Genomic DNA, 25,031 nt, shown 5'->3' with positions numbered 1-25,031 from the left:
TGAAAACTTCCGCACCCCTATTTTTTTCAGCCGGCTGGAACGGGCTGTGGCTCAGCCTACCCTTCCCCCCCTTCACATGCCATTTTTACTAAATACACTTACAGTGAGTATGCTCCTGGCTTTTGTGGTTTGCTCCTCCCGAGTCAGATTTCCTTTAGCTAGTTTCAAGTGCCAGTTTCCAGGAGTTAGGAGATATCTCTGTTTCCATTGCTAGGGTTTATTTAGTCGACGGAAAGAGGACCCTGCTTTACCCACACAGGTTCCTCTGCAGTACAATGAGCTGAAGCTGGCCCTGGAGAAGGAGAAAGCTCGCTGTGCAGAGCTAGAGGAAGCCCTTCAGAAGACCCGCATCGAGCTCCGGTCCGCCCGGGAGGAAGGTAGGGGCTCACTCTCTCCAAAATGCTCAAGGATGTGGAAAAGGCAGAGGATTGATCTCAGTGAGATCAGCCAAGACTAACTAGCTCAGTGTCTTCGTTTATGGCCCATACGCTTTCAGACCAGACATCCCATGTCTGAAAAACGTATGGCCCCTGTGCATTGCCAAGTTGATGTGACGCATATTCTTTTGGTCTTGGGTCCTTGAAAGATAGCCCAGGGACATTCGGCTTAGTTTGGTCCTCTAGGCGACCCAGCTAACCAAAAGGCATTGTCCTGGTCTCTCTGCAGCTGCCCACCGCAAAGCAACGGACCACCCACACCCATCCACGCCAGCCACCGCGAGGCAGCAGATCGCCATGTCCGCCATCGTGCGGTCGCCAGAGCACCAGCCCAGTGCCATGAGCCTGCTGGCCCCGCCATCCAGCCGCAGAAAGGAGTCTTCAACTCCAGAGGGTACGTTGGAGTTGTATGGAAATTTCTTTTAGTCGACTAAGACATGTGGGCATATGGTAAAAATTACAAGTAATACTAGGGGTTAAAGATTAAAAAGTCAGTCTTGGCCAGGCACGGTGGCTCACACCTGTAACCCCAGCACTTTGGGAGGCCGAGGTGGGCGGATCACCTGAAGTTGGGAGCTCAAGACCAGCCTGACCAACATGGAGAAACCCCGTCTCTACTAAAAATGCAAAATTAGCTGGGCATGGTAGTGTATGCCTGTAATCCTAGCTACTCGGGAGGCTGAGGCAGGAGAATTGCTTGAATCCGGGAGGCGGAGGTTGCGGTAGCCGAGATTGCGCCATTGCACTCCAGCCTGGGCAACAAGAGGGAAACTCCATCTCAAAAAAAAAAAAAAAAAAAAGAAAGAAGTCAGTCTCCTGGCTCCCCATCCTCAGTGTTGGTTCATATATGTGACCACATGTCTATACCATTCATGTATCTTACATTGTGTGATTATATTTAAAGAATATGAGAAAATAGGCTGGGCATGGTGGCTCACGCCAGTAATCCCAGCACTTTGGGATGCTGAGGCAGGCGGATCACCTGAGGTCAGGAGTTTGAGACCAGCCTGGCCAACATGGTGAAACCTCGTTTCTACTAAAAATACAAAAATTAGCTGGGTGTGGTAGCATTCTCCTGAAGTCCCAGCTACTTGGGAGGCTAAGGCAGTAGAATCATTTGAACCCAGGAGGTGGAGGTTGCAGTGAGCCGAGATCACCCCACTGCACTCCAGCCTGGGTGATAAAGTGAGATTCCATCTCAAAAAAAAAAAAAAAAAAAGAAAAGAAAAGAAAAAAGAATATGAAAAAATAAGCACATCTCTCTCTCAGGCCTTTTTTCTTTTATAAATATTATAGTGGTGGCTCACGCCTGTAATCCCAGCACTTTGGGAGGCTGAGGTGGGCGGATCACCTGAGGTTGGGAGTTCGAGACTAGCCTGACCAACATGGAGAAACCCTGTCTCTACTAAAAATACAAAATTAGCCGGGTGTGGTGGTGCATGCCTGTAATCCCAGTTACCTGGGAGGCTGAGGCAGGAGAACTGTTTGAACCTGGGAGGCAGAGGTTGCAGTGAGCCAAGATAAAGCCATTGCATTCCAGTCTGGGCAACAAGACTGAAACTCTGTCTCAAAAACAAAAACAAGAAAACGTAAGCTTATCTTTCAGGCCTTTTTTCTCTTATAAATATCATAGCACACTACAGTATACACTGCAAGACACCTTCGTTTCATTAAAGTGCTATCTTAGAGGTTTCACATTAGTACATAAGGACCTACCCCATTCTTTCAGAGAACCACACAGTATTCCGTGGTGTGAGCATGCAATTCACCTGTTAAGCCAGGCTCCTGTTGATGGCCATTTAGGTTGTTTCCAATCCCCTGTTACTGTAAACACCTTGCAGAGGACATCCTGTGCCTCTGTGGGTGTTGTGCCTGGAGAAATTCCTGGGAAATGAATCACTGGGTTAAAGGTCATGTACATTTTGAGTGCTGGTAGTTTGTGCCAATGTTTATTTCTACCAACAGTGTGAGGAGTTTTCTTGCTGGTCTCAAATGTACTCCATTTACCTAGAGATTAAAAGGACTTAAGAAAAGGCCAAGGAAGCTGTTTGGAATGTCTTAGGAACACTAGGGTAGAGCTGTGGTTTAGCAATCATGGCATTGCAATCAAACCTGTTTTGGTTGTAAACCAGATGGTGTTTTCTTGTTGCTGTTGTTTTTCTTTAGCCTGAAGTCATTTTCTTCCTCCTGTGTTTATATAACTCCTTGAATCAAAGAGCTTTACTTTTTTTTTTTTTTTTTTTTTTTTTTTTTTTTTTTTGAGACAGAGTCTCGCTCTGTCGCCCAGGCTTGGAGAGCAGTGGTGTGATCTTGGCTCACTGCAACCTCTGCCTCCCAGGCTCAAGCGATTCTCATGCCTCAGCTTCCTGAGTAGCTGGGATTATAGGCATGCGCCACCATGCCTGGCTAATATTTTTATTTTTAGTAGAGATAGGGTTTCACCATGTTGGCCAGGCTGGTCTTGAACTCCTGACCTCAAGCGATCCACTTGCCTTGGCCTCCCAGAGTGCTGGCATTACAGGTTTGAGCCACTGTGCCCAGCCCAAGAGCTTTACTTTTAAACTCATTAAAATGGTGATGACAAGATAGAGGAAAGCATTGCTTCTGGCTGTGGTGTCCACTGAAATGTCCCTGAATAGTGATAGTACTACAGTATATTGCTCCTTTGTGTATACTGCACCACACAGTTTCAAAGTGCATTCCTGTTATTTATTCCTTGCACCTTTCCAAGAAAGGAAGGGGGGTGATGTTGTAAGGAGAGCCTACCGTATAGTCAGTCAATCTCCTACCAGTAACATGTTCTTAAAGCCTGATTCCTAATCACTGGATAATGGAGATTTTAAGTTGAGTCTTATAAATCTAGATGCATCTGTTAGTGTTAATACTTTCAAAATCTGTAACTAACCTGTTCTAATGGTTTTAACAGTTTCATTCAGATGTAATTTGCATACCGTACAGTTCGCTCATTAAAAATGTACAATTCAGTCTTTTTCAGTAAGTTTACAGGGTTGTGTAACCCTCATCACATTCTAATTTTTGAACAATTTTGACACCCCCCCACCCAAAAAATACTCCATACACATTATCAGTCCCCCGCCATTCTCCTTCCACTAATGTTCTTCTTAGCAACCACCAATCTACTTTCTGTCTCTGTCGATCTGCTCTCTTAGACATTTCATAAAGATGAATCATACTGCATGCGGCCTTTGTGTCTGGCTTCTTTCATGGAATGTAATGTTTTCAAGGTTCACCCATGTTGTAGCATGTATCAGAACTTCATTCCTTTCATGGCTGAATAATACTCCATTGTGTAGATGGCACATCTGATTATCCATTAATCCATTTTCATTAGTCCATTTTCACACTGCTGATAAAGACATGCCCAAGACTGGGTAATTTATAAAGAAAAAGAGGTGTAATAGACTCACAGTTCCATGTGGCTGGGGAGGCCTCACAATCATGGTGGAAGGCAAAAGGCATGTCTCATGTGGCGGTGACAAAAGAGAATAAGAACCAAGCGAGAGGGGTTTCCCCTTATAAAACTATCAGATCTTATTCACTACCACAAGAACAGTATGGGGGAAACCACCCGCATGATTCAGTTATCTCCCACCAAGTCCCTCCCAACACATGGGAATTATGGCAGCTGCAATTCAAGATGAGATTTGGGTGGGGACACAGCCAAACCATATCACCATTGGTGGACATTTGTGTTGTTTTCACTTTGTAGTTGTCATAAATTATGCTGCTGTGAACATTTATGTACAGATTTTTGTGGGTACATATGTTTTCAGTCCCCTTGGATATATAGCCAGGAGCGGAATTGCTGGGTTCTGGGGTAACTATGTTTAACCTTTTACAGAACTACCAGACTGAGTTCCAAAGTGGCTGCACCATTTTTACATTCTCACCAGGAATGTGTGAGGGTTCCAGTTTCTCCACATCCTCATCAACACTTATCTTCCTTTTTTTAGACTGTAGACATCCTAGTGGTTGTGAAGTGGTGTCTGCTTGGGGTTTTGATTCACATCTCTCTAACGACTGATAATGTTGAGCATCTTTTCATTTGCTCGTTGGCCATTTATCCTCTTCGGGGAGGTGTCTATTTAAATTCTTGGCCCATTTTAAAATTGGGTTGTCCTTTTATTATTGAGTTGTAAGAGTTCTTTATGTATTCTAGATATGAGTCCCTTATCAGAGATTTGATTTGCAAGTATTTTTTCCCTTTCTGTGGGTTGTCTTTTCACTTTCCTGATGGGATCATTTGCAGTACTCTAATGATTTTTTAAAACATTTTCCTCCAGAATTTAGTCGGCGTCTTAAGGAACGCATGCACCACAATATTCCTCACCGATTCAACGTAGGACTGAACATGCGAGCCACAAAGTGTGCTGTGTGTCTGGATACCGTGCACTTTGGACGCCAGGCATCCAAATGTCTCGGTAAGATCAGTAGTTGTGCATCTGTGCTGGGCACCTGTGCATCTCCAGCTTAAAAAGTCTATCAGGTGGAGGTGATTTTTTTCTAACTCATCATATAGTGCATTCATTTTCGAGCTTCTTACTTCAGTAGGAGGATGCTATTTTTCCCCTGTTGAAGCTGTGAGTTTATATATGTCTGCAGCTCATGACTCCAGCCTGCTGCTCAGAGTGCCTTAGGCTTTGCTAATTTCCAGCCCCTTTTTGTCAGGCTGGTCTCTCCCTACCTTTCCGCTGACTCCAACTGAAACATGCAAACGTGTTCTTTACACACCTGTTTGTGGGCGGTCTGGATTGAAGCCTGGAAAACTGGGTCAAGAGCACTTGGCACTTTTGTTTTCCCTTTCTGCAGGGGCCTGGCACCAGGGGAAGCTCAGGAGACTACCTGCAAGCCAGGGCCAGACTCTCTGGGCCCGGCTGGGGTAGAGAAGCCCAGGCGTTGGCTGGCAGAGGAAGGGAAGGGTCCAGGGTCAGCTGAGCATGCCCTCAGGTTGCTCACTGTTCTTCCCTAGAATGTCAGGTGATGTGTCACCCCAAGTGCTCCACGTGCTTGCCAGCCACCTGCGGCTTGCCTGCTGAATATGCCACACACTTCACCGAGGCCTTCTGCCGTGACAAAATGAACTCCCCAGGTCTCCAGACCAAGGAGCCCAGCAGCAGCTTGCACCTGGAAGGGTGGATGAAGGTGCCCAGGTACCATGTCAGGGTGGCTTGGGCTGGAGCAGGTGCTGGCACAAGCCACTCTGTCCCTGATGTTTTCTAGGGAAGTGTCTTTTCTAGGAACTCTGCCACCCCCTCATCCTATCCTCCAGCCGGATGTTTCTTCTGAGTTCAGACATTTTTCTTTTCCATCTTTCTTTCCCCAGGAATAACAAACGAGGACAGCAAGGCTGGGACAGGAAGTACATTGTCCTGGAGGGATCAAAAGTCCTCATTTATGACAATGAAGCCAGAGAAGGTAAATTAATAATTCAGGGGGAAGGTCATTGCACGTGGCTAACCCAGGTCTCCCCAGTGCTGGCGCGAAGGCTTTGTTTTTTGGACTGCCTTGCAAGCCTTCTACGCTTTTCCATTTTTGAAACTTACAAACCAAATGACTTCTCTAAAGGTTATTGGTGCGATACTCACATCTATAGGTCTCCCCCCTGAAGAACCCGCAGGGCGCTGCCCTGAAGATTCCACCTGCTAATACACCTTCCGAGAACTTCTGCCTCAGTCAACTAACCCATAAATCCGCATCGTCATCAGAAATTTGACTGTGCTACTCATCTGACACACTTTATTTTTTTTTATCTTCCCTCTCTGCCTTCTCTGCACACCTCTGTCCCTTCCTTGTTCTCGTGCGCCTCTCTTTACACACGTACCCTGTCTCTCTCTCCCTTGCTGTCTCTCTCGCTCTCTCTTCTCCCCTTGTTCTTGTTCCTGTTCTTTTGTTTTTCTTTCTGCCCTTCCTCTTTGCACCAAGCTGGACAGAGGCCGGTGGAAGAATTTGAGCTGTGCCTTCCCGACGGGGATGTATCTATTCATGGTGCCGTTGGTGCTTCCGAACTCGCAAATACAGCCAAAGCAGGTGAGGAGGAGCCGGAGGAGCCCCGCCCTGGAGGTGGGCCGGGCTTGGCCAATCAGCAGGGACAGAAGGGGTGGTACAGGGAAGATTGGCTCTGCAAAGGAGGCCCATCTTCCTCCGCTCCCCGCCTTGGCGGTAACTGGGATTTGCGTGGTTTGGTGGGCATCTTTGATCTCTCAGGCCCGTCCCTCCCAGTGGGAACGGGGGAAATCCACACCCAATCCTGTGCTCTCTGAAATCTCCTAGATGTCCCATACATACTGAAGATGGAATCTCACCCGCACACCACCTGCTGGCCCGGGAGAACCCTCTACTTGCTAGCTCCCAGCTTCCCTGACAAACAGCGCTGGGTCACCGCCTTAGAATCAGTTGTCGCAGGTGGGAGAGTTTCTAGGGAAAAAGCAGAAGCTGATGCTGTGAGTATGAAAGCGGGCCCTGGAGGTTGTCTTTGTAAAGGGGGCTGACTTGGTAACTGGTGTTAACGACGAGAATCCCATTGGCCATTTTGATTCCCCTCAGGCTCTCTCTCTGAGGGCTGATGGCTCTAGACTGTGTCATGGCCAGGAGTCTGGTGGTGATGAAGGCACAAGCACCAAGGTAGCTTGTGTGGCATCATGATCCATTTAGAATGTGGGAATCAGGGATGCGGTGGCTCATGCCTGTGGTCCCAGTGACCCAGGAGGCCAAGGCAGGAGGATCACTTGAGCCCAGGAGTTTGAAACCAGACTGGGCAAGATAGCAAGATCCCATCTCTTAAAAAAAGAGAAAGAAAGAAAGTTAGCCAGGTGTGGTGACATGCACCTGTAGTTCCAGCTAGTAGGGAGGCTGAGGCCGGCGGATTGCCCAGGAGTTTGAGGCTGCAGTGAGCTACGATTGTGCCACTGTACTCCAGCCTGGGCAACAGAGCGAGGCATGGACTGTAAAAGCAAAGGAAAAAGAATGGGGGAATCGGCATCAGTAGCCTACTCTGGTGGCATTGTAGACCTTGGTTGTGGTGATGCAGCAGCAAATGTACTTATAAGGAAATCCTCTCTCCTGTTTACTCAAATGAGTTTGTCTGGTTTGAAGGCTTGAGTTAGAAGCACTTTGGCCACGAAGCAGCACAATAGGCTGCCGGCAGCTGTGTCCCCTCCAGGAAGGCTTTTCATAAGCATCTCAGTTGTTTTTGCAGTATTTGCTCTTCCGTAGGCAGGTTTGGAGTCCTACTTATCCTTAAGCTGTTAGAAACGTAGGTGTGCTGTGATTGGCATCACCCCACCTAAAATGTTCCAGGATACAAACAGTGCTCATTGCTCATTGACGTTTGCTCCAGCGAAGACCAAACAGCTCTTTTCAGACTCTTCACTCCTAATAAACACTTTATGTGTTAGCAATTGGCAGATTCTTAACCACAAGCCTCCTGAAAAGGGCTTTACTCAGTGGTTAGACCTGTTTGGATGACTTGTTGGTCGTTTCACACGTGAGCTTTTACTGAAATCCTTGTTAATATGTGTACAATAGGCCCGCGACTGTGTTTCTTACGAGCTTCTGCCTGCCTGGGTTCAGGTAAAGAGATGCAGAGGCGTGCTGGCTCGCTGCTAACACGGCGCCTTTGCACTTCTGCTGCAGCCTTATGGGGGAAGGAGTCTTTCATGTGTCTTATTAACCCTGCGCAGGTGAAATCTCCTTAGCTTCAGCTTATTTCTTATTACAGAATAGCTTTCCATGTCTACTACCCTCCCTTATTTCTGCATCCCAGCCAAATTATAACTCAGATGCTAATTAACAGCTGCCCCAGAGATACCAATAGCACTCGCATTTTGCATTTGGAGCTCAGATCAAAATACGGGCTGAGCTAAGAGCATATGTGCGTTTCTGAGCATTTCCAGGAATAACTTGGCCTTAACCTTCTCTTGGTTTCTCTGGATGGTTTGGTCATAAACAGATCAGCCTCACGATGTCTTCTGTTTTTCTTTTCTTTCACCTATGAAAAGAAACTGCTTGGAAACTCCCTGCTGAAACTGGAAGGTGATGACCGTCTAGACATGAACTGCACGCTGCCCTTCAGTGACCAGGTAATGCTTGCATGGGCACGGCCAGCTGGTGTCTGGTTACAGCCACACCCCATCAAGAAAGAAAGGGCTGTGGAGGCCTTGTTGCTCTTACTAGAGATTGTTCTGGTGACGTGACCGTGCTTATGTTCTGCCTTCGGACTTCTGCCCTTGCAGGTGGTGTTGGTGGGCACCGAGGAAGGGCTCTACGCCCTGAATGTCTTGAAAAACTCCCTAACCCATGTCCCAGGAATTGGAGCAGTCTTCCAAATTTATATTATCAAGGACCTGGAGAAGCTACTCATGATAGCAGGTGTGAGGCCAAGGACATGGTGTTTTTTCTTTACTTTCAAGGGAGCCAATATGTTGAAGCCACGTTTCATGCTCGTAAAACACAAAATAGTAGAGAGGAGCCGTTGTAGCTCTTATCTCTGTGTCCCCATAGATGCCCAAGCCTCAGCTAATGGACCCCCTCTGTCCAGATTCAGTTCCCTTCCAGTATCCAGTTTAGCACAGTCTGACATTCCCAAAGAACATCCCACTGTTAGGCCAAGTGAAGAGTGCTAAGCCTCGAAGACTATCTAAAGCCAAACCCTTTGTCCTGATTGCAACGAAACCACCGTGGGCCCTGACCTTCTGAGAGCTTGCTTGCTCTGTTAACTCTGTGATCTCTCTCAAGTCACCATTTGCTAATATTTTGTCATAATTTTTTTCTCTGTCTTCTTAACACACACACACACACACACACACACACACACACACACACACACACACACTCTCTCTCTCTCTCTCTCTCTCTCTTTCCTGAACCATTTGAGAGTTAGTTGCAGGTATGACGCCAAGTTCTTCAGTATATCAACCTAAGGATTGAAGACATTCTGTCACATAACCAGGGTACAGTTTATTTCTCTCTGTCTGTGTTAGTGACATTATTTTTAAAGGGGAAAAGAGTAATATATCGATTCAGTGTTCAAAACAACAACAGTTAGGTCTTGTTTCAGGCATGGCTGGATCCGGGGACTGACATACTATGGACAAGAACTGGCCTTTCTTAATCTCAGCTCTTTTTCCTCCGTCTCTTCCTCTCTTCCTTATTTTATTCTTTAGAGCAGTTTTAGATTCACAGCAAAATTGAAAGGTACAGAGAGTTCCCATATACCCCCGTTCTCATATATGCATAGCCTCCCCCACTACCAACATCCCCCACCAGAGTGATACGTTCGTTAGAGTCAGTGAACCTACATTGACACATTGACAGTGACACATCATTGTCACCCCAAGTCTACAGTTTACATTATAGAGTTCTTTCTTGGTGGTATACATTCTATGGGTTTTGAAAAACATATAATGACATGTATCCACACATAGAGTATCATATAGAATAGTTTCACATACTATAATTTCTGCATTTAGGAAATTTACCCTTACTATAATACAAGTATCCGCTATGCTGCCCATAATTGGATTTTACCTGTGGCTTCTATAATGTCCCAGAATTTGCATTGCATTTAATCATGTCTCTCTAGTCTCCTTTAATCTGAACGGTTCCTCAGCCTTTTGTCTCTCCTGACATCCACATATTTGGATAGTCCAAGTCTGTTTTTTCATAGAATGCCTCCTCATTCCTCCCTCACACATTCGTTCTTTACTTTGCTGGGGAGCATGTTTGAAAGTACAGTTCACATTCTCCAATTTTATGTCTGCAGAATTCCACCCTCCTCAGAATCTTGACTAAAAGGCCAAATGTTATTGTCTTAGATTTAAATCATGGACTTGGGCCGGGCGTGGTGGCTCACGCCTGTAATCTCAGCACTTTGGGAGGCTGAGGCGGGCAGATCACAAGGTCAGGAGTTTGAGACCAGCCTGACCAACATGGCGAAACCCCATCTCTACTAAAAATACAAAAAAAAATTAGCCAGGCGTGGTAGCATGCACCTGTAATCCCAGCTACTCAGGAGGCTGAGGCAGGAGAATTGCTTGAACCCAGGAGGCAGAGGTTTTAGTGAGCCGAGATTGTACCATTGCACTCCAGTGTGGGCAACAGAGCAAGACTCTGTCTCAAAAATTTAAAAAAAAAAAATAAATAAATCATGGACCTAAAATGTGTTTATATGGATTTGTGGAAAACTCAGATCATCTGTGTGGCCTCTTGTGACTTTTACTTGTGACTAGAACTAGAACCACCATCCCGTACCTTTACTTAACGGCTTCACACTGACGAGAGGTTGTTCCTTTTCCTGTTCAGGAGAAGAGCGGGCACTGTGTCTTGTGGACGTGAAGAAAGTGAAACAGTCCCTGGCCCAGTCCCACCTGCCTGCCCAGCCCGACATCTCACCCAACATTTTTGAAGCTGTCAAGGGCTGCCACTTGTTTGGGGCAGGCAAGGTAAGCTCCCCTCAGAGTCCTAGCTGGTGGAATGTTCTGGAAATTGACACTACCTCTCTTCCCACAGAGCTCGTTGATTTGACCTTCAAGATAGTGTCAACTTAAATAACAAACAGAGAGGGGCTCTCTTGAAAGAAAAGAGATTGATTTGGGAACAGGGCTTTGCAATGGGAATACACGTGCCATTGTAAACTATGTGGGTATCTAGGGAGATAAAGGAAGACAGAGGTTTGTAAGTGAGGATTCCATAGTCTTTTTGAAATAATTATCCTTGGCTTCAAAGATTAATAACAAGACTGACGCTTGTCTAAGGTTGGACAGATAGTCACTGGGCGGATGTCCTTGCAGAAGTATTTTTTGTGTAAGATTGCAATGGCCTGGCCGGGCGCGGTGGCTCATGCCTGTAATCCCAGCACTTTGGGAGGCCGAGGCAGGTGGATCACGAGGTCAAGAGATCAAGACCATCCTGGCCAACATGGTGAAACCCTGTCTCTACTAAAAATACAAAAATTAGCTGGGCACGGTGGCGGGCGCCTGTAATCCCAGCTACTCGGGAGGCTGAGGGAGGAAAATGACTTGAACCCAGGAGGCGGAGGTTGCAGTGAGCCGAGATTGCGCCACCGCACTCCAGCCTGGTGACAGGGAAAAAAAAAACAGATTGCAATGGCCTTTGTGGTTTTCGTCGAGTCTCTTTTTTATCAGGCACACAAGTGTGAGAATCCTCTCTTCATGGCCTCCTCCTGCTCTAATGTCAGCGTTTTGTTAACATTGGCAGCTCCATTTTGATTCTGACAACTTTCACAATTGTACATCCTCAAACTAGGTTAAATTTCTGTTGCCTCCTTTAGGCACGTGAAATAATTTGTGTAGCCATGAAATTTGTACAGGTTTTGAATCTAAAATAAATGTCTGAGAGCAAAATGGGAATAAAATTAACAAAACTAGAAGGATGATCCATAATTTAAAAATAAGTGTGTTTGCATGTGCGTGTGTATGTCTGCTGTGTCTGTGAGAGAGAGATGAACCTTAAAAAAAATCTAATGTGGATCTCCATGTCTGAACTAGATGAAAGTATGTTTCATTACTAGAAATTTAAAAATTCGAATTTATGACATTTACATAACAAAGTTCATGAGAACTCAAGTTAATTCATTTGTAGCTTCTGGCATATTGAAAAGTGGCACATAAAATACCTTTGTTTGCTTCTTTAGTCAAAAAGTCAAAAAATAACAGATGCTGGTGAGGTCGTGGAGAAAAAGGAACACTTATACACTGTTGGTGGGAGTATAAATTAGTTCAACCATTGTGGAAGACAGTGTGGGGATCCTCAAAGACCTAAAAATGGAAATACCATTCAACCCAGCAATCCCATTACTGGGTATATACCCAAAGGAATATAAATCATTCTATTATAAAGTCACATGCATGTGTATGTTCATTGCAGCCTACTCATAATAGCAAAGACATGGAATCCACCTAAATGCCCATCAATGGTAGACTGGATAAAGAAAATGTGGTACATATACACCATGGAATATTATGCAGCTCTAAAAAAGAATGAGATCATGTCCTTTGCAGGAACATGGATGGAGCTGTAGGCCATTATCCTAAGCAAACTAATGCAGGAACAGAAAAACAAATACCACATGTTTTCACTTATAAGTGGGAGCTGAATGATGAGAACACATGGACACATAGAGGGGAACACACACACTGGGGCCCGTCAGAGGGTGGAGGGTGGGAGGAGGGAGGGGATCGGGAAAAATAACTAATGGATACTAGGCTTAATACGCAGGTGATGAAATAACCTGTACAACAAACCCCCATGACATGAGTTTATTGATACAACAAACCTGCACATGTGCCTGTGAACTTAAAAGTTAAAGTAGAAAATAATAAAAAAGAGTGTTTGCGGGTATATATACATGTACATGTATAACTTTAATTAAGTCTGAATCAGGTGTTTATAGACCCCCTGAGGCTACTGGCGTTCTGCTGTTGAAAACCATCGCATTTTGACCCTCAGAAGAGAGCACACTGCACATTTGTTCATTCAGCCGCTCAATCAACATTTTTTTTTTTTTTTTTTGACACAGAGTCTTGCTCTGTCACCCAGGCTGGAGCACAGCGGCACGATCTTGGCTCACTGTAGCCTCTGCCTCCCGGCTTTAAGCGATTCTCCCTCTTCAGCCTCCCAAGTAGCTGGGACTACAGGCACGCACCATCACAGCAGGCCAATTTTTGTATTTTTAGTAGAGACAGGGTTTGACCATGTTGGCCAGGCTAGTCTCGAACTCCTGGCCTCAAGTGATCCACCCACCTTGGCCTCCCAAAGTGCTGGGATTACAGGCATGAGCCACTGCACCTGGCCAAAATTTTTTTTTTTTTTTTTTTTTTTTTTTTTTTTGAGACAGAGTCTCACTCTGTCACCCAGGCTGGAATGCAGTGGTGTGATCTTGGCTCACTGCAGCCTCTGCCTCCCAGGTTCAAGTGATTCTTCTGCCTCAGCCTCCTGAGTAACTGGGATTACAGGCATGCCCACCATGCCCAGCTAATAAAAATTAGTTTTTTAAATTAGAAATTATTTTCATTCTAATATCTGAACTGTTCAAAAAATGTATGGAACATATATGTAAATCATAAAGCCTAATAATGTCGTAAGCATCCACACACTCACTACCCAGTCCAAGAAATAGAACATTGCTAACAATTTCCCTTTTCTTGTGTGTTCCTCCCTTATCCCGGCCCATCTTCATTCTCCCACTGTACCAGCTGCTGACCTTCGTGCCAGGACTAATTTGAGCAGTAAGCCTCATTTGGTGAATGATAAACATCTGGTTGTAGCAGGAGACGTTAAAAGGGTTTCAGCTGTTCTAGAAAAAGAGCGTTTTGATGTAGAACTCTGCACGTGTATGAGTTCTTAGCTAAGAACTTTTCCTTTTGGATTGAAATTTTCTCTAAATGTGGGCCGGGTGTGGTGGTTCACACTTGTAATCCCAGCACTTTGGGAGGCCGAGGCAGGCGGATCACTTGAGGCCAGGAGTTCGAGACCAGCCTGGCCAACATGGCAAAACCCCATCTGTACTTAAAATACAAAAATTGGCCAGGCATGGTGGTGCGCACCTGTGGTCCCAGCTACTTGGGAGGCTGAGGTGGGAGAATGGCTTGAAGCCGGGAGGTGGAGGCTGCAGTGAGCCGAGATCATGCCACTGCACTCCAGCCTGGGCGACAGAGTGAGACTCCGTCTCAGAAGAAAAGAAATTTTCTCTAAATTCGTTTAGCAGTCTCTACCACCTTTCCTCTCCCTTCCCTCATTCTGTCTTCTCCCTCCTCACAAGGGAAGTTTGTCAAAAGATTCTGTCTCCAGCAGAAGGCACATGTGTGGGAAAGGTGTGTGGTGTCAGGTGCCTCCCTGAGGCCTTCTCTGGATCCCAGGTAAAGCCTTGGTTCTCGACCAGGGGTAATTCTGCCTTACCAGGGGACATTTGGTAATGGCTGGAGACATTTTTGATTGTCACACATTGAAGTGCTGCAGGCATCTAGTGGGTCAAGGCCAGGGATACTGCTCATATCCTGCGATGCCCAGGACAGCCCTCCCCCCACCACACAGAATGATCTGGTCTGAATCATCAATGGCGCTGAGCCTGAGAGCTTTTCCTAGTTTTGCCCCACAGCCGGTATCACACTGGTGACAGTCTTTTTCTTTTCTTGGTTGCTTTTCAGATTGAGAACGGGCTCTGCATCTGTGCAGCCATGCCCAGCAAAGTCGTCATTCTCCGCTACAACGAAAACCTCAGCAAATACTGCATCCGGAAAGTAAGTCCTGGGCCTTGCCTTGGTTGAACGTGGGAAAGCCAGTCCTGCTCTCTCAGCGAGCCAGTGTGGAAAGTGCACTGTCCTGGGACACAGCCTGTACTGGGTTCCTTCTACCCTGCGGGCCTTTAGCCTGGGGTGACCTCTGTCGTCAGCGAGATCCTTCCTTTGTGGAGGATTCCCCAGGGCCACTAGTAGCTGCGGTTTCCCTCCTGCTTTTCTTCTCACATTTGCGAACTGCCTCCCCATCCAGCCCAGTGAGTTCAGCCTTTTGTTAGAACAGAAAGTTGACTGATAGGAAAAACCAGTGGAAAAAAAAAAGGGGGGGCTCTTTCTAAGATCCTAGCAGTCCCAGGTAGCACTTATCAGAATCTTTCTCAAATTCTAGAGGTGTCTATTAATATAACCTTCTGCAATAACCAGTGCTAGCAGTATTTTGATATGTAATTAGGGAGCTCCTTCTTTTCGGAGCAGAGTGAGCTGTGATGATGACTGCAATATGGACGAGATGTGTGTTAGATCCTTAAATCTGCCTGGCTTCTGGAGAATGCTGTCTGATGTCCCTACCTCGGAGTGTCCCACTCCTCCTAAGCCTGATATATTTCTGGTGCTTTCATGATTAGTCTCAAAAATGAAATGAGGCTGGGCATGTTGGCTCAGGCCTATAATCCCAGCACTTTGGGAGGCCGAGGAGGGTGGATCACTTGAGGTCAGGAGTTTGAGACCAGCCTGGCCAACATGGTGAAACCCTGTCTCTACTAAAAATACAAAAATTAGCCGGGCATGGTGGCGGGTGCTTGTTATCTCAGCTACGTGGGAGGCAGAGGCAGGAGAATTGCATAAACGTGGGAGGTGGAAGTTGCAGTGAACCGAGATTGCACTACCGCATTCCAGCCTGGGCAACAGAGCAAGACTCCATCTCAAAAAAAAAAAAAAAAAAAAAAGTGAAATGAAGGGTGAATAATATATAAGGGTCATTACCTGTTAGAGAAACTGTTCCATTCTGGGCAGGGTGGTGTTAGTTTAGTTGGTGTGTTCATTGGGTGCCCACCCTGTAAGGGACTGAACTGGCTGTTTTACAAGCACCTTTCACCACAGTTCTGAAAAGCAGAGACAGTTATTCCCAATTTTCAGGTAAGACAACTGAGGCTGGCAGAAAATCCTCAGTTACAAAGTTGAGGCCAGAACTGAAGTTTGATTTTTTTTCCTAGCATTTCACTATATCGTGCTTCCTCAAAGTTTTCCCATACTTAGTAGGTGACCAAGAAATATTCAGTGATGATGATAATGCTCACTAGAATTTGAACTGTTAGCTTCAGGAAAATTCTCAGAAATCATTGCTTCTTTATGATTCCCGGCCACACATTTTGAATAGGTGTGCCTGGTTTTTTGATGACATTAGGATTGGCCTAAAAACAACTAAAAATAATCAGGAAGCAGGTAATTAAGATGACAATAATGATGATCATGATGATGACTGCATAGGTAATATAGGTTCAAACTAGAAACTTAGAAGCTAGCAAAAAGAAGGAAACCAAAACCATTGCTGCTGACCACCACTGTTAATAGTTGTTGTATTTTTCCTGTATTTTTTTTTCCTGTGATAAGAATGTTGTATTGTTCAAGATCTGTCTCTTCATTGGAATGCTGTTTCTTTCTTTTCTTTCTTTTTTTTTTTGAGACAGAGTTTTGCTCTTGTCGCCCAGGCTGTAGTGCAATGGCACTATCTCAGCCCACTGCAACCTCTGCCTCCCGGGTTTGAGCGATTCTCCTGCCTCAGCCTCCTGAGTAACTGGGATCACAGGTGCACACCACCACACCTGGCTAATTTTTTGTATTTTTAGTAGAGACGGGGTTTCACCATGTTGGCTACACTGGTCTCGAACTCCTGACCTCAGGTGATCCACCTGCCTCAGCCTCCCAAAGTGCTGGGATTACAGATGTAAGCTACTGCGCCCAGCCTGGAATGGTGTTTCTGACCCCACCTTTTTTTGGCTGCAGTTTGACCTTGTTTTCTTAGTTTTGGGTTGCATGGAACAATAGGAAGAGAAAACAAATGGATCACTGTTCATCCTGAGAGGCATGAAAGGTGAATGGGGCGTGTGCAGTGGCTCAAGCTTGTAATTCTAATGCTTTGGGAGGCTGAGGTGGGAGGATTGCTTGAGCCCAGCAGTTTGAGGCTGCAGTGAGCTATGATCACACCACTGCACTCTAACCTAGGTGACAGAGCGAGATCTTGTCTCCAAAAAAAAAAAAAGATGAATGGCTCTCTATGACAACGTGAACAAGCTTGGTGACAATGTTCTCCAGGGCTTGGCTAGATGCTGTAGGCAGAAGCAGAACAGCTGTGGACCTTGGCTGCCCTGTGTTACCTCTCACATCCTTCTCTTCTGCTCTCATGTCTCAGGAGATAGAGACCTCAGAGCCCTGCAGCTGTATCCACTTCACCAATTACAGTATCCTCATTGGAACCAATAAATTCTACGAAATCGACATGAAGCAGTACACGCTCGAGGGTAGGACCCACCTCCACTTTCGCACCCACCCATGGCTCAGGCCGCGCTGAGACTCAGAACTCACTCCTGAAGCCCCGCTTCTCGCCTGCCTTTACAGAATTCCTGGATAAGAATGACCATTCCTTGGCACCTGCTGTGTTTGCCGCCTCTTCCAACAGCTTCCCTGTCTCAATCGTGCAGGTGAACAGCGCAGGGCAGCGAGAGGAGTACTTGCTGTGTTTCCACGGTGAGTCGTGGCTGCGCCCACTGCCCTTTTGGGTCCTCATGGACACTAGGGACCCATGAGGGGTTGGAGGAGGGTACATGGAGCTCTGGGGCAGGATAGGTTTGACTAGGGGTACAGAGAATGTCCTTCCAGCACCACCAAGTCCCCTTGGGGATGCTCCTCTCCATCACCAGATACTAGCGTGGTCTAACTTTATCACATTCTCTCCAAAGAGCAGGCAGTTTTTTCCTCATCCATCCCTTGCCTTTCTTTCTCTCCCTTTCCTTTCTCTTACTCTGTCCTCATTTCGTCCTCCCCTCCCTTCCCCTCCCTTTCCATCCTTCTATCTGTCCTTTTCTTTGTTGCATTCTTTCTTTTCTTTCTTTCTTGGGTCCTCCCCTCCCCCTCCCCATCCCCTCCCTCCCCTCCCCCTCCCCATCCCCTCCCTCCCCTCCCCCTTCCCTTCTTTCCTGAGTCTTTCCGTCTTTCCCTGTCTGTCCTCCTTCCTCCGGATCGCTTCATTCCCCTCTCTCTCTGTCTCTTTCTCTTTCCCTCTCCTCCTCTTATTCCTTTCCTTCTTTTCACTTGAGTTCTCTTTCTTTAATAAAATTTAATAAATTAAAATAAATTAAATTTAAAAAGTCCCTCATTTTTAATAAAGCTGAGAGCTGGCTCAGCAGAGGGCCTCTGGTTTTCACAGTCAGTCCCATCTGGCCAGGGGTCCCTGGGCTCTGCTCCTCATTCTTCCATCACCATGTGTGTCGCTGATGCCCCTGCTCTTGGCTGTGCTAATGCCCACGTGCTCTTGACACCTTGCAGAATTTGGAGTGTTCGTGGATTCTTACGGAAGACGTAGCCGCACAGACGATCTCAAGTGGAGTCGCTTACCTTTGGCCTTTGGTACGTGAGGCTCAGTGTGGGGGCTTCTCTTTTGCCAGCAGCTGGTGTCCTGGAAAAGAATTGCATCCGGGTGCGGTGGCTCACGCCTGTAATCCCAACACTTTGGGAGGCCGAGGCGGGTGGATCATGAGGTCAGGAGTTTGAGCCCAGCCTGACCAACATGGCGAAACCCCATTTCTACTAAAAATACAAAAATTAGCCAGGCATGGTGGCATGTGCCTGTAGTCCCAGCTACTCAGGAAGCTGAGGCAGGAGAATTGCTTGAACCCAGGAGGCGGAGGTTGCAGTGAGCTGAGATCACACCACTGCACTCCAGCCTGGGTGACAAAGCGAGACTCTGTCTCAAAAAAACAACAAAAAAAACCGCAATTGCAAGTGGAAATTTTTTTCTTTTTTGGCCTAAGCACTGTGCATGTGAATTCCATTAGATACCAAGTGCCATGTGTAACAGTCACCCGGAGAACTGTTCATGGAAAGATTCTGAGGCTCGATGAAGAGCTGCCTACGCCAGATTCACCAGCCCACAGTCCCAGCCCTGGGAAATATTTGCTAGGCTCTCATGATAGAAAGGAGCCCAATTCCTGTAGATTTATTTCAGTCATTTCCAAAGGCTGCAGAGTGTCCCATGGCATAGCTGAACACCTGTTCACTTAACCAGTTCTAATTAGGCAAAGCAGTAAGGCCATGCCCGTTTTGTTTGTAAGTGTAAACAACACTACGATGAACATCCTTGTACTAATCTTTTTGCACTTGTTAGATAGCACCCCCTGATTATAAGCTCCTAAAAGTGGAACTGTTGGATCAAAGACTAAACACACATACACATACAAGTATGTACATACGTATCTGTGTGAATGTTCTGAAATGCCGTCGTGGCCCAGATACCCTTCGAGGCTATTTTGTTTCTCTCTTGCTGCATAACAAGCCATCTGAAAGCTTAGTGACTTCAAACAACAGCTTATTATTGGCCCCAACTCCGTGGCTTGACTGGACAGTTCTGCTTCATGTGGTATCAGCAGGGCCACTGGGACAACTAGAAAGCCCAAGACAGGCTCACAAACATGGCACGCAATGAGTGCTGGCCATAATGTGGGCGCTTAGCTGCGGCTGGTGGCTGGAGGCCTTGTTGCTTTCCACGCTGGCTTCTTCCAAGAATATAGAAGCGGAAGCTGGCAAGCGTGCTCACTTCCACCACGCTCTACTGGTTAGAGCAGACCGCAGAGTCAGCCCAGATTCAAGGCCAGGGAACTGCACCGGGGCACGCATACCAGAGCCCATGACTTTAAAAGTCTAATACCAAGTCTTGCCACAAGGAATAATAGTGCTTTTTCCCTTTAAGGCAGAAAATATTTCCAGTCCTGTGTGCTCTAGTTTCAGTGACACTGTCATGCAGAGATAGAGTATTAAGAAGACCAGCAATGTCTAAATAGCTGTGAACCCAGTCTTTTTTTTAAAATAGAACCCAGTCTTTTTTTTTTTTTTTTTTTTGAGTCGGATTTTCACTCTTGTTGCCCAGGCTGTAGGGCAATGGCACAATCTCAGCTCACTGCAACCTCTACCTCCCGGGTTCAAGTGATTCTCCTGCCTCAGCCTCCCAAGTAGCTGGGATTACAGGCGCCTGTCACCATACCCGGCTAATTTTTTCTATGTTTAGTAGAGACAGGGTTTCACCATGTTGGCCAGGCTGGTCTTGAACTCCTGATCTCAGGTGATCCACCCGCCTCGGCCTCCCAAAGTGCTGGGATTACAGGCATGAGCCACCGCGCCCAGCCCGAACCTAGTCTTTTTAAAAATTGAATTCTTTGAAGATGTTTACAATCAGTTTTAAAAGGTATACAATGAAAAGTCTCACCCAGAGAGTCCATCTCCCAAATTCTCCATCGCTATTCCTCCAAAGAAAAAAAAGCTCATATGAGTTTCTTGTCCTTCCAGTACTTTATGCAAATACTAGCACATAAAATATATATATTCTTTTTTCCAGCTTTTTAAAAATCAGTAAGGCAGAATACTTCCCACATGATTCTGAACCTTGCTTTTTGCACTGAGCAGTGTACCTTGGGCATTCTTTCATATCTGTACAAAGAGAGCCTTTTCATGCATGTTTACAGCTGCACAGAATTCCATAGATGTATTATAATTTTTTTTTTTTTTTTTTGAGACAGAGTCTCCCTCTGTTGCCCAGGTCGGAGTGCAGTGGTGCCATCTCAGCTCACTGCAACCTCTGCCTCTTGGGTTCAAGTGATTCTCCCGCCTCAGCCTCCTGAGTAGCTGGGATTACAGGTGTACACCACCATGCCTGGCTAATTTTTGTATTTTTAGTAGAGATGGGGTTTCACCATGTAGGCCAGGCTGGTCTCGAACTCCTGACTTCAGGTGATCCACCTGCCTTGGCCTCCCAAAGTGCTGGGATTACAGGCGTGAGCCACCACGCCCAGCCAGATGTATTATAATGTATTTAGCCAATCCCTACACTGTACACTTGAGTTGTTTTCCATCTTCTGCTGTAACAAACCACACGGCAGTGAATATCCTCGAACATGCATGACTGTTCTGGCGCATAGATATGTATTTGTTGGGTGAGTTGCTTTACACAGGATTGCTGGGTCAAAGAATGCATTGCAGTCAGATTTTGATTTTCCCTCTTTTCACCATTCTTTGGCCCACACTGTGCCTGCATGGTGATCACACAGCCTACAGAGAACCCTATCTGTTTGTGACCCACTTCAACTCACTCGAAGTAATTGAGATCCAGGCACGCTCCTCAGCAGGGTAAGCATTGTCCTCCCATGCGTGGAAAACTTCAGCTATTGGGGTAGGTGTTGGGGCCGGCCGCATGTTCCTTCCTAACTTGCCTAGCAATGGAGGTAGCCTGCAATGAAGGTAACTGGAACTCTGGGACTCTGCAGGACCCCTGCCCGAGCGTACCTGGACATCCCGAACCCGCGCTACCTGGGCCCTGCCATTTCCTCAGGAGCGATTTACTTGGCGTCCTCATACCAGGATAAATTAAGGGTCATTTGCTGCAAGGGAAACCTCGTGAAGGAGTCCGGCACTGAACACCACCGGGGCCCGTCCACCTCCCGCAGGTAACCAGCTTCTCCTCTTCCTCAGTACCAGGGGCAACGTGCTTTTCTGCAAGGCAGAAGGAAGTGATACTAAACCAGTAGAATGTTTCCCAATCTTCACTTTGTTCTTAAGCTCAAACCATTCATTTGTTTGCGATCTGCGGCACTGAAATAACACAGACCATTATGAGCATCAGGAGAATTAGAAAATACCACCTTGCAAAAGTCAGAGGGGAGAGGTCTGATCTTTCTCTCCTGGGTATTTTCATTGGCTTGGTGAGAAATGGAGCACAAATTAGGCATTTATTGCTTTAGCAGGTATTCTGCGGTGCTAGTTGTTGGGCTTGTGGGGGAGGGAGAATGGTGAATAAAGCAGATGTAGCCCCTCCCTGATGGCACTCACAGCCCAGTGGGAGAGATGCTGGCAATCAGAGATTAAGGCATGGAAGGATGAGGCCCTGGTGGGGTGGTTGAAAGCCTGGACGTGGAGGTGAGGGAGGATTTCCCATCAGATACGAGGTGGGGGCAGGGAGACCAGTGAGGGGTGCTCAGGCAGGAGGGAAGGCAAGCCATGCCTGGAGGTCCAGAGATGTGAGGTCGTGAGAGCAGGTCAGGGACTCCTGGCCAGCCTCGTGCCTTCCCTGGAATGCGAGACCTCCTGAACAGGATTGGACTCAAACAGCCATTGATAAAGAAGCAGTTAAATAAATTAAAGTACAGCCCTGGGAAGGAATGTTGTGCAGGCATCTGGGGAAAAGAATGAAGAACTCACACTGACATGGAGCAATCGCCAAGACACATCAAGGTACAGGAGAGTATGCAGATATGCTGCCACTTGTATTAAAAAGGAGGGGAGGTGGTGCGGTGGCTCACACCTGTAATCCCAGCACTTTGGGAGGTGAGGGCTGGCAGATCACTTGAGCCCAGGAGTTCAAGACCAGCCTGGGCAATGTGGTAAAACCCTATCTCTACAAAAAATACAAAAATTAGCCAGGTGTGGTGGTGTGTGCCTGTAATCCCGGCTACTCTGGAGGCTGAGGTGGCGGGGACTGCTTGAGCCCTTGAGGCGGAGGTTGCCGTGAGCTGAGATCACACCACTGTACTCCAGCCTGGGCACAGAGTGAGACCCTATCTCAAAATCAAAAAAGGATGGGAAGGGCACTTCCAGAATTTCAGAGTAAGGACCTCTGATAACCTGTTTCTCCATAAAGGCAACGGGACCACTGGCAATTATCAAAATCAACTTTTCAGAGCTCTGGAAATTAACCCTAGCCCTCTGAGTGGTCTCTGTCAAGGCAGAGTCAAACCAAAAGAGTCAGGAGCACATGGGTATTTGGCACCTCTGCTTTTCCAGCAAGTTCCTGGGATCAAAACCACATTGAACAAGCATGTTCCAAAAAAAGGCCTCTTCTTAAAAGGCATTCTTTTTAAATTTTACTTCTTTTTGAATTGATAATCTAACCACAGGGCACAGAATTCAAAGGATAAGAAAGGTGTACAGTACAGAGCCTCTCTTCTGGGTCTCTCTTGCCTCCTAACTCTCCTCACTCCCTCTCCCCAGGTCCCCACCTGGGAAGGAACCAATTTTTTGAAGTTTTTGTGTTTCCGTTTAGGGATCCTTTATGCCAATACAGCCAGCCCTCTCTGTCTATAGGTTATGCCTCTGTAGATTCAATAAACCATGGATTGAAAATATTTGAAAAAATAATTGTGTTTGTACTGCACATGTTCAAGCTTTTACAAATTGTCATTATTCCCTAAACAATATAGTATAACAGCTATTTACAGAGCATTTACATTGTATTAGGTGTTATAAGTAATCTAGAGATGATTTAAAGTGTACAACAGGATGTGTGTAGGTTATATGCAAATACACTCCCCCTACTTTTTTTTTGGGACAGGGTCTCTGTCATCTAAGCTGGAATGCAGTGGTACCAGCTCACTGCAGCCTCGACCTCTGGGCTCAGGTGATCCTCCTACCTCAGCCTGATGAGCAGCTGGGATTACAGGTGTGTGCCACCACACCCAGCTAATTTTTGTATTTTTTGTAGAGATGGAGTTTTACCATGTTGCCCAGGCTGGTCTCAAACTCCTGGGCTCAAGTGATCTGCCCGCCTTGGCCTCCCAAAGTGCTAGGTTTATAGGCTTGAAGCACTGTGTCTGGTCCTACACCATTTAATATAAGAGATGTGAACATCCATAGATTTTGGTACCCACAGGAAGTCCTGGAAGCAGTCCCCCAGGCCACCAAGGGACAACTGTACAACCAAATGTACAGTCAGATCCACTGCCCTGAGAATGGGTCTTTTCCACGGAGCGTCGCTAGGCAGGTCAGATAGCAACAGTTTTCTGGGGATGGGGCTTTTTGGGGAGCTTCAATCCTGATCTGCTCCCTCTAGTGGCTACTAGACTGCTGGTTTTCACAGCTACTGTGGTTCCAAGGACATTGGTTTCAACTCTTCCACAGATCTGGGGAGAGGGGAGTGGGTATGGGGCAAGTTGAATGTCACAAAACATTCGGTTCTTGCTGAGATTCCTTTGTTTTTCTTGCATAAACACTCTTTGAATTGTTGCAGGCCTTTTTTGCAACATGCTTGTTCAGTGTGGTTTTGATCCCAGGAACTTGCTGGAAAAGCAGAGGTGCCAAATACCCACGTGCTCCTGACTCTTTTGGTTTGACCCTGCCTCGAGAGTGGCCGCGCAAAGGGCTAGGGTTAATTTCTAGAGCTCTGAAAAGTTGATTTTGACAACTGCCAGTGATCTTGTTGCTTTTATGGAGAAACAGGTTGTGAGAGGTCCTTAGTCTGGCATTCTGGAAGTGCCCTTCCCCTCCTTGTTTATTTATTTTTTATTTTTATTTATTTATTTTTTTTCGAGGTAGGGTCTCACTCTGTGCCCAGGCTGGAGCACAGTGGCGTGATCTCGGCTCACTGCAACCTCCGCCTCCTGGGCTCAAGAGAGCCCCCGACTTCAGCCTCCCCCCGAGTAGCTGGGACTACAGGCGCCCGCCACCACACCTGGCTAATTTTTGTATTTTTTGTAGAGACAGGGTTTTACCACATTGCCCAGGCTGGTCTTGAACTCCTGGGCTCAAGCAATTTGCCTGCCCTGGCCCCCCAAAGTGCTGGGATTACAGGTGTGAGCCACTACACGCAACCACCCCTCCTTTTTAATACAAGTGGCAGCATATTCTGCATACTCTCCTGTACCTTGATGTGTCTTGGCGATTGCTCCGTGTCAGTGTGAGAAGTAGTTATTCATTCATTTCTCCCCAGATGCCTGCACAACCTTCCTTATCAGGGCTGTACCTTAATTGGTTTAACTGCTTCTTCATTAATGGCTGTTCGAGTTGTCTCCAATCTGTTGCTGCAATAAATGACTTTCTCCTTACGTCATTTTACATGCTGAGGAATCTATCTGTAGGATAAATTCCTAGAAAAGTGTGGGTGAATGGGTGATGGCTGATGTGGATTTGTAAATCTGATGGACAGTGTGGAGTTTTCTGCCCTGAAGGCTTCTCCCATTTGCCATCCCACCAGCTGCGTGTGGAAGTGGGACTGGCCTCGTCTTGACACAGTGCTAGGAGCTAGATCCAGCTCGAGGTGTAGGAAGTTTGAAACCTTGGCCTGCAAAGA

The 25,031-nt window shown here is 46.5% G+C and overlaps 1 protein-coding gene and 1 non-coding gene across 16 annotated transcripts in view; both read left to right on the top strand.

The window, feature by feature from the left end:
* The window catches only part of CIT (citron rho-interacting serine/threonine kinase), a 191,530-nt gene that overhangs the window by 158,245 nt on the left and 8,254 nt on the right, over window positions 1–25,031 (top strand). For 5 of the 15 annotated variants that reach the window (XM_011537784.2, XM_011537783.2, XM_011537790.2 and 2 more), the window contains 17 exons: window positions 215–377; window positions 667–831; window positions 4,742–4,879; window positions 5,428–5,608; window positions 5,782–5,873; window positions 6,381–6,485; window positions 6,729–6,898; window positions 7,983–8,027; window positions 8,456–8,536; window positions 8,690–8,825; window positions 10,758–10,897; window positions 14,621–14,713; window positions 17,118–17,226; window positions 17,324–17,452; window positions 18,251–18,331; window positions 21,022–21,100; window positions 21,238–21,417. In XM_011537784.2, coding sequence (XP_011536086.1) covers window positions 215–377; window positions 667–831; window positions 4,742–4,879; window positions 5,428–5,608; window positions 5,782–5,873; window positions 6,381–6,485; window positions 6,729–6,898; window positions 7,983–8,027; window positions 8,456–8,536; window positions 8,690–8,825; window positions 10,758–10,897; window positions 14,621–14,713; window positions 17,118–17,226; window positions 17,324–17,452; window positions 18,251–18,331; window positions 21,022–21,100; window positions 21,238–21,417 — 2,087 coding nt within the window. The remainder of the gene's footprint in view (window positions 1–214; window positions 378–666; window positions 832–4,741; window positions 4,880–5,427; window positions 5,609–5,781; window positions 5,874–6,380; window positions 6,486–6,728; window positions 6,899–7,982; window positions 8,028–8,455; window positions 8,537–8,689; window positions 8,826–10,757; window positions 10,898–14,620; window positions 14,714–17,117; window positions 17,227–17,323; window positions 17,453–18,250; window positions 18,332–21,021; window positions 21,101–21,237; window positions 21,418–25,031) is intronic. The other 10 variants (XM_011537788.2, XM_011537787.2, XM_017018737.2 and 7 more) reach the window with 3 other exon arrangements.
* On the top strand, window positions 5,352–5,442 carry MIR1178 (microRNA 1178). The gene has a single exon (NR_031589.1). It is a non-coding gene; the product is annotated as a microRNA 1178 (primary transcript).

The sequence above is a fragment of the Homo sapiens genome, chromosome 12 (genome assembly GCF_000001405.40).
Source record: "Homo sapiens chromosome 12, GRCh38.p14 Primary Assembly".
Lineage (NCBI taxonomy): Eukaryota > Metazoa > Chordata > Mammalia > Primates > Hominidae > Homo > Homo sapiens.
The sequence above is the reverse complement of the archived record's forward strand: the minus strand, read 5'-3'. Positions and strand labels throughout refer to the sequence as shown.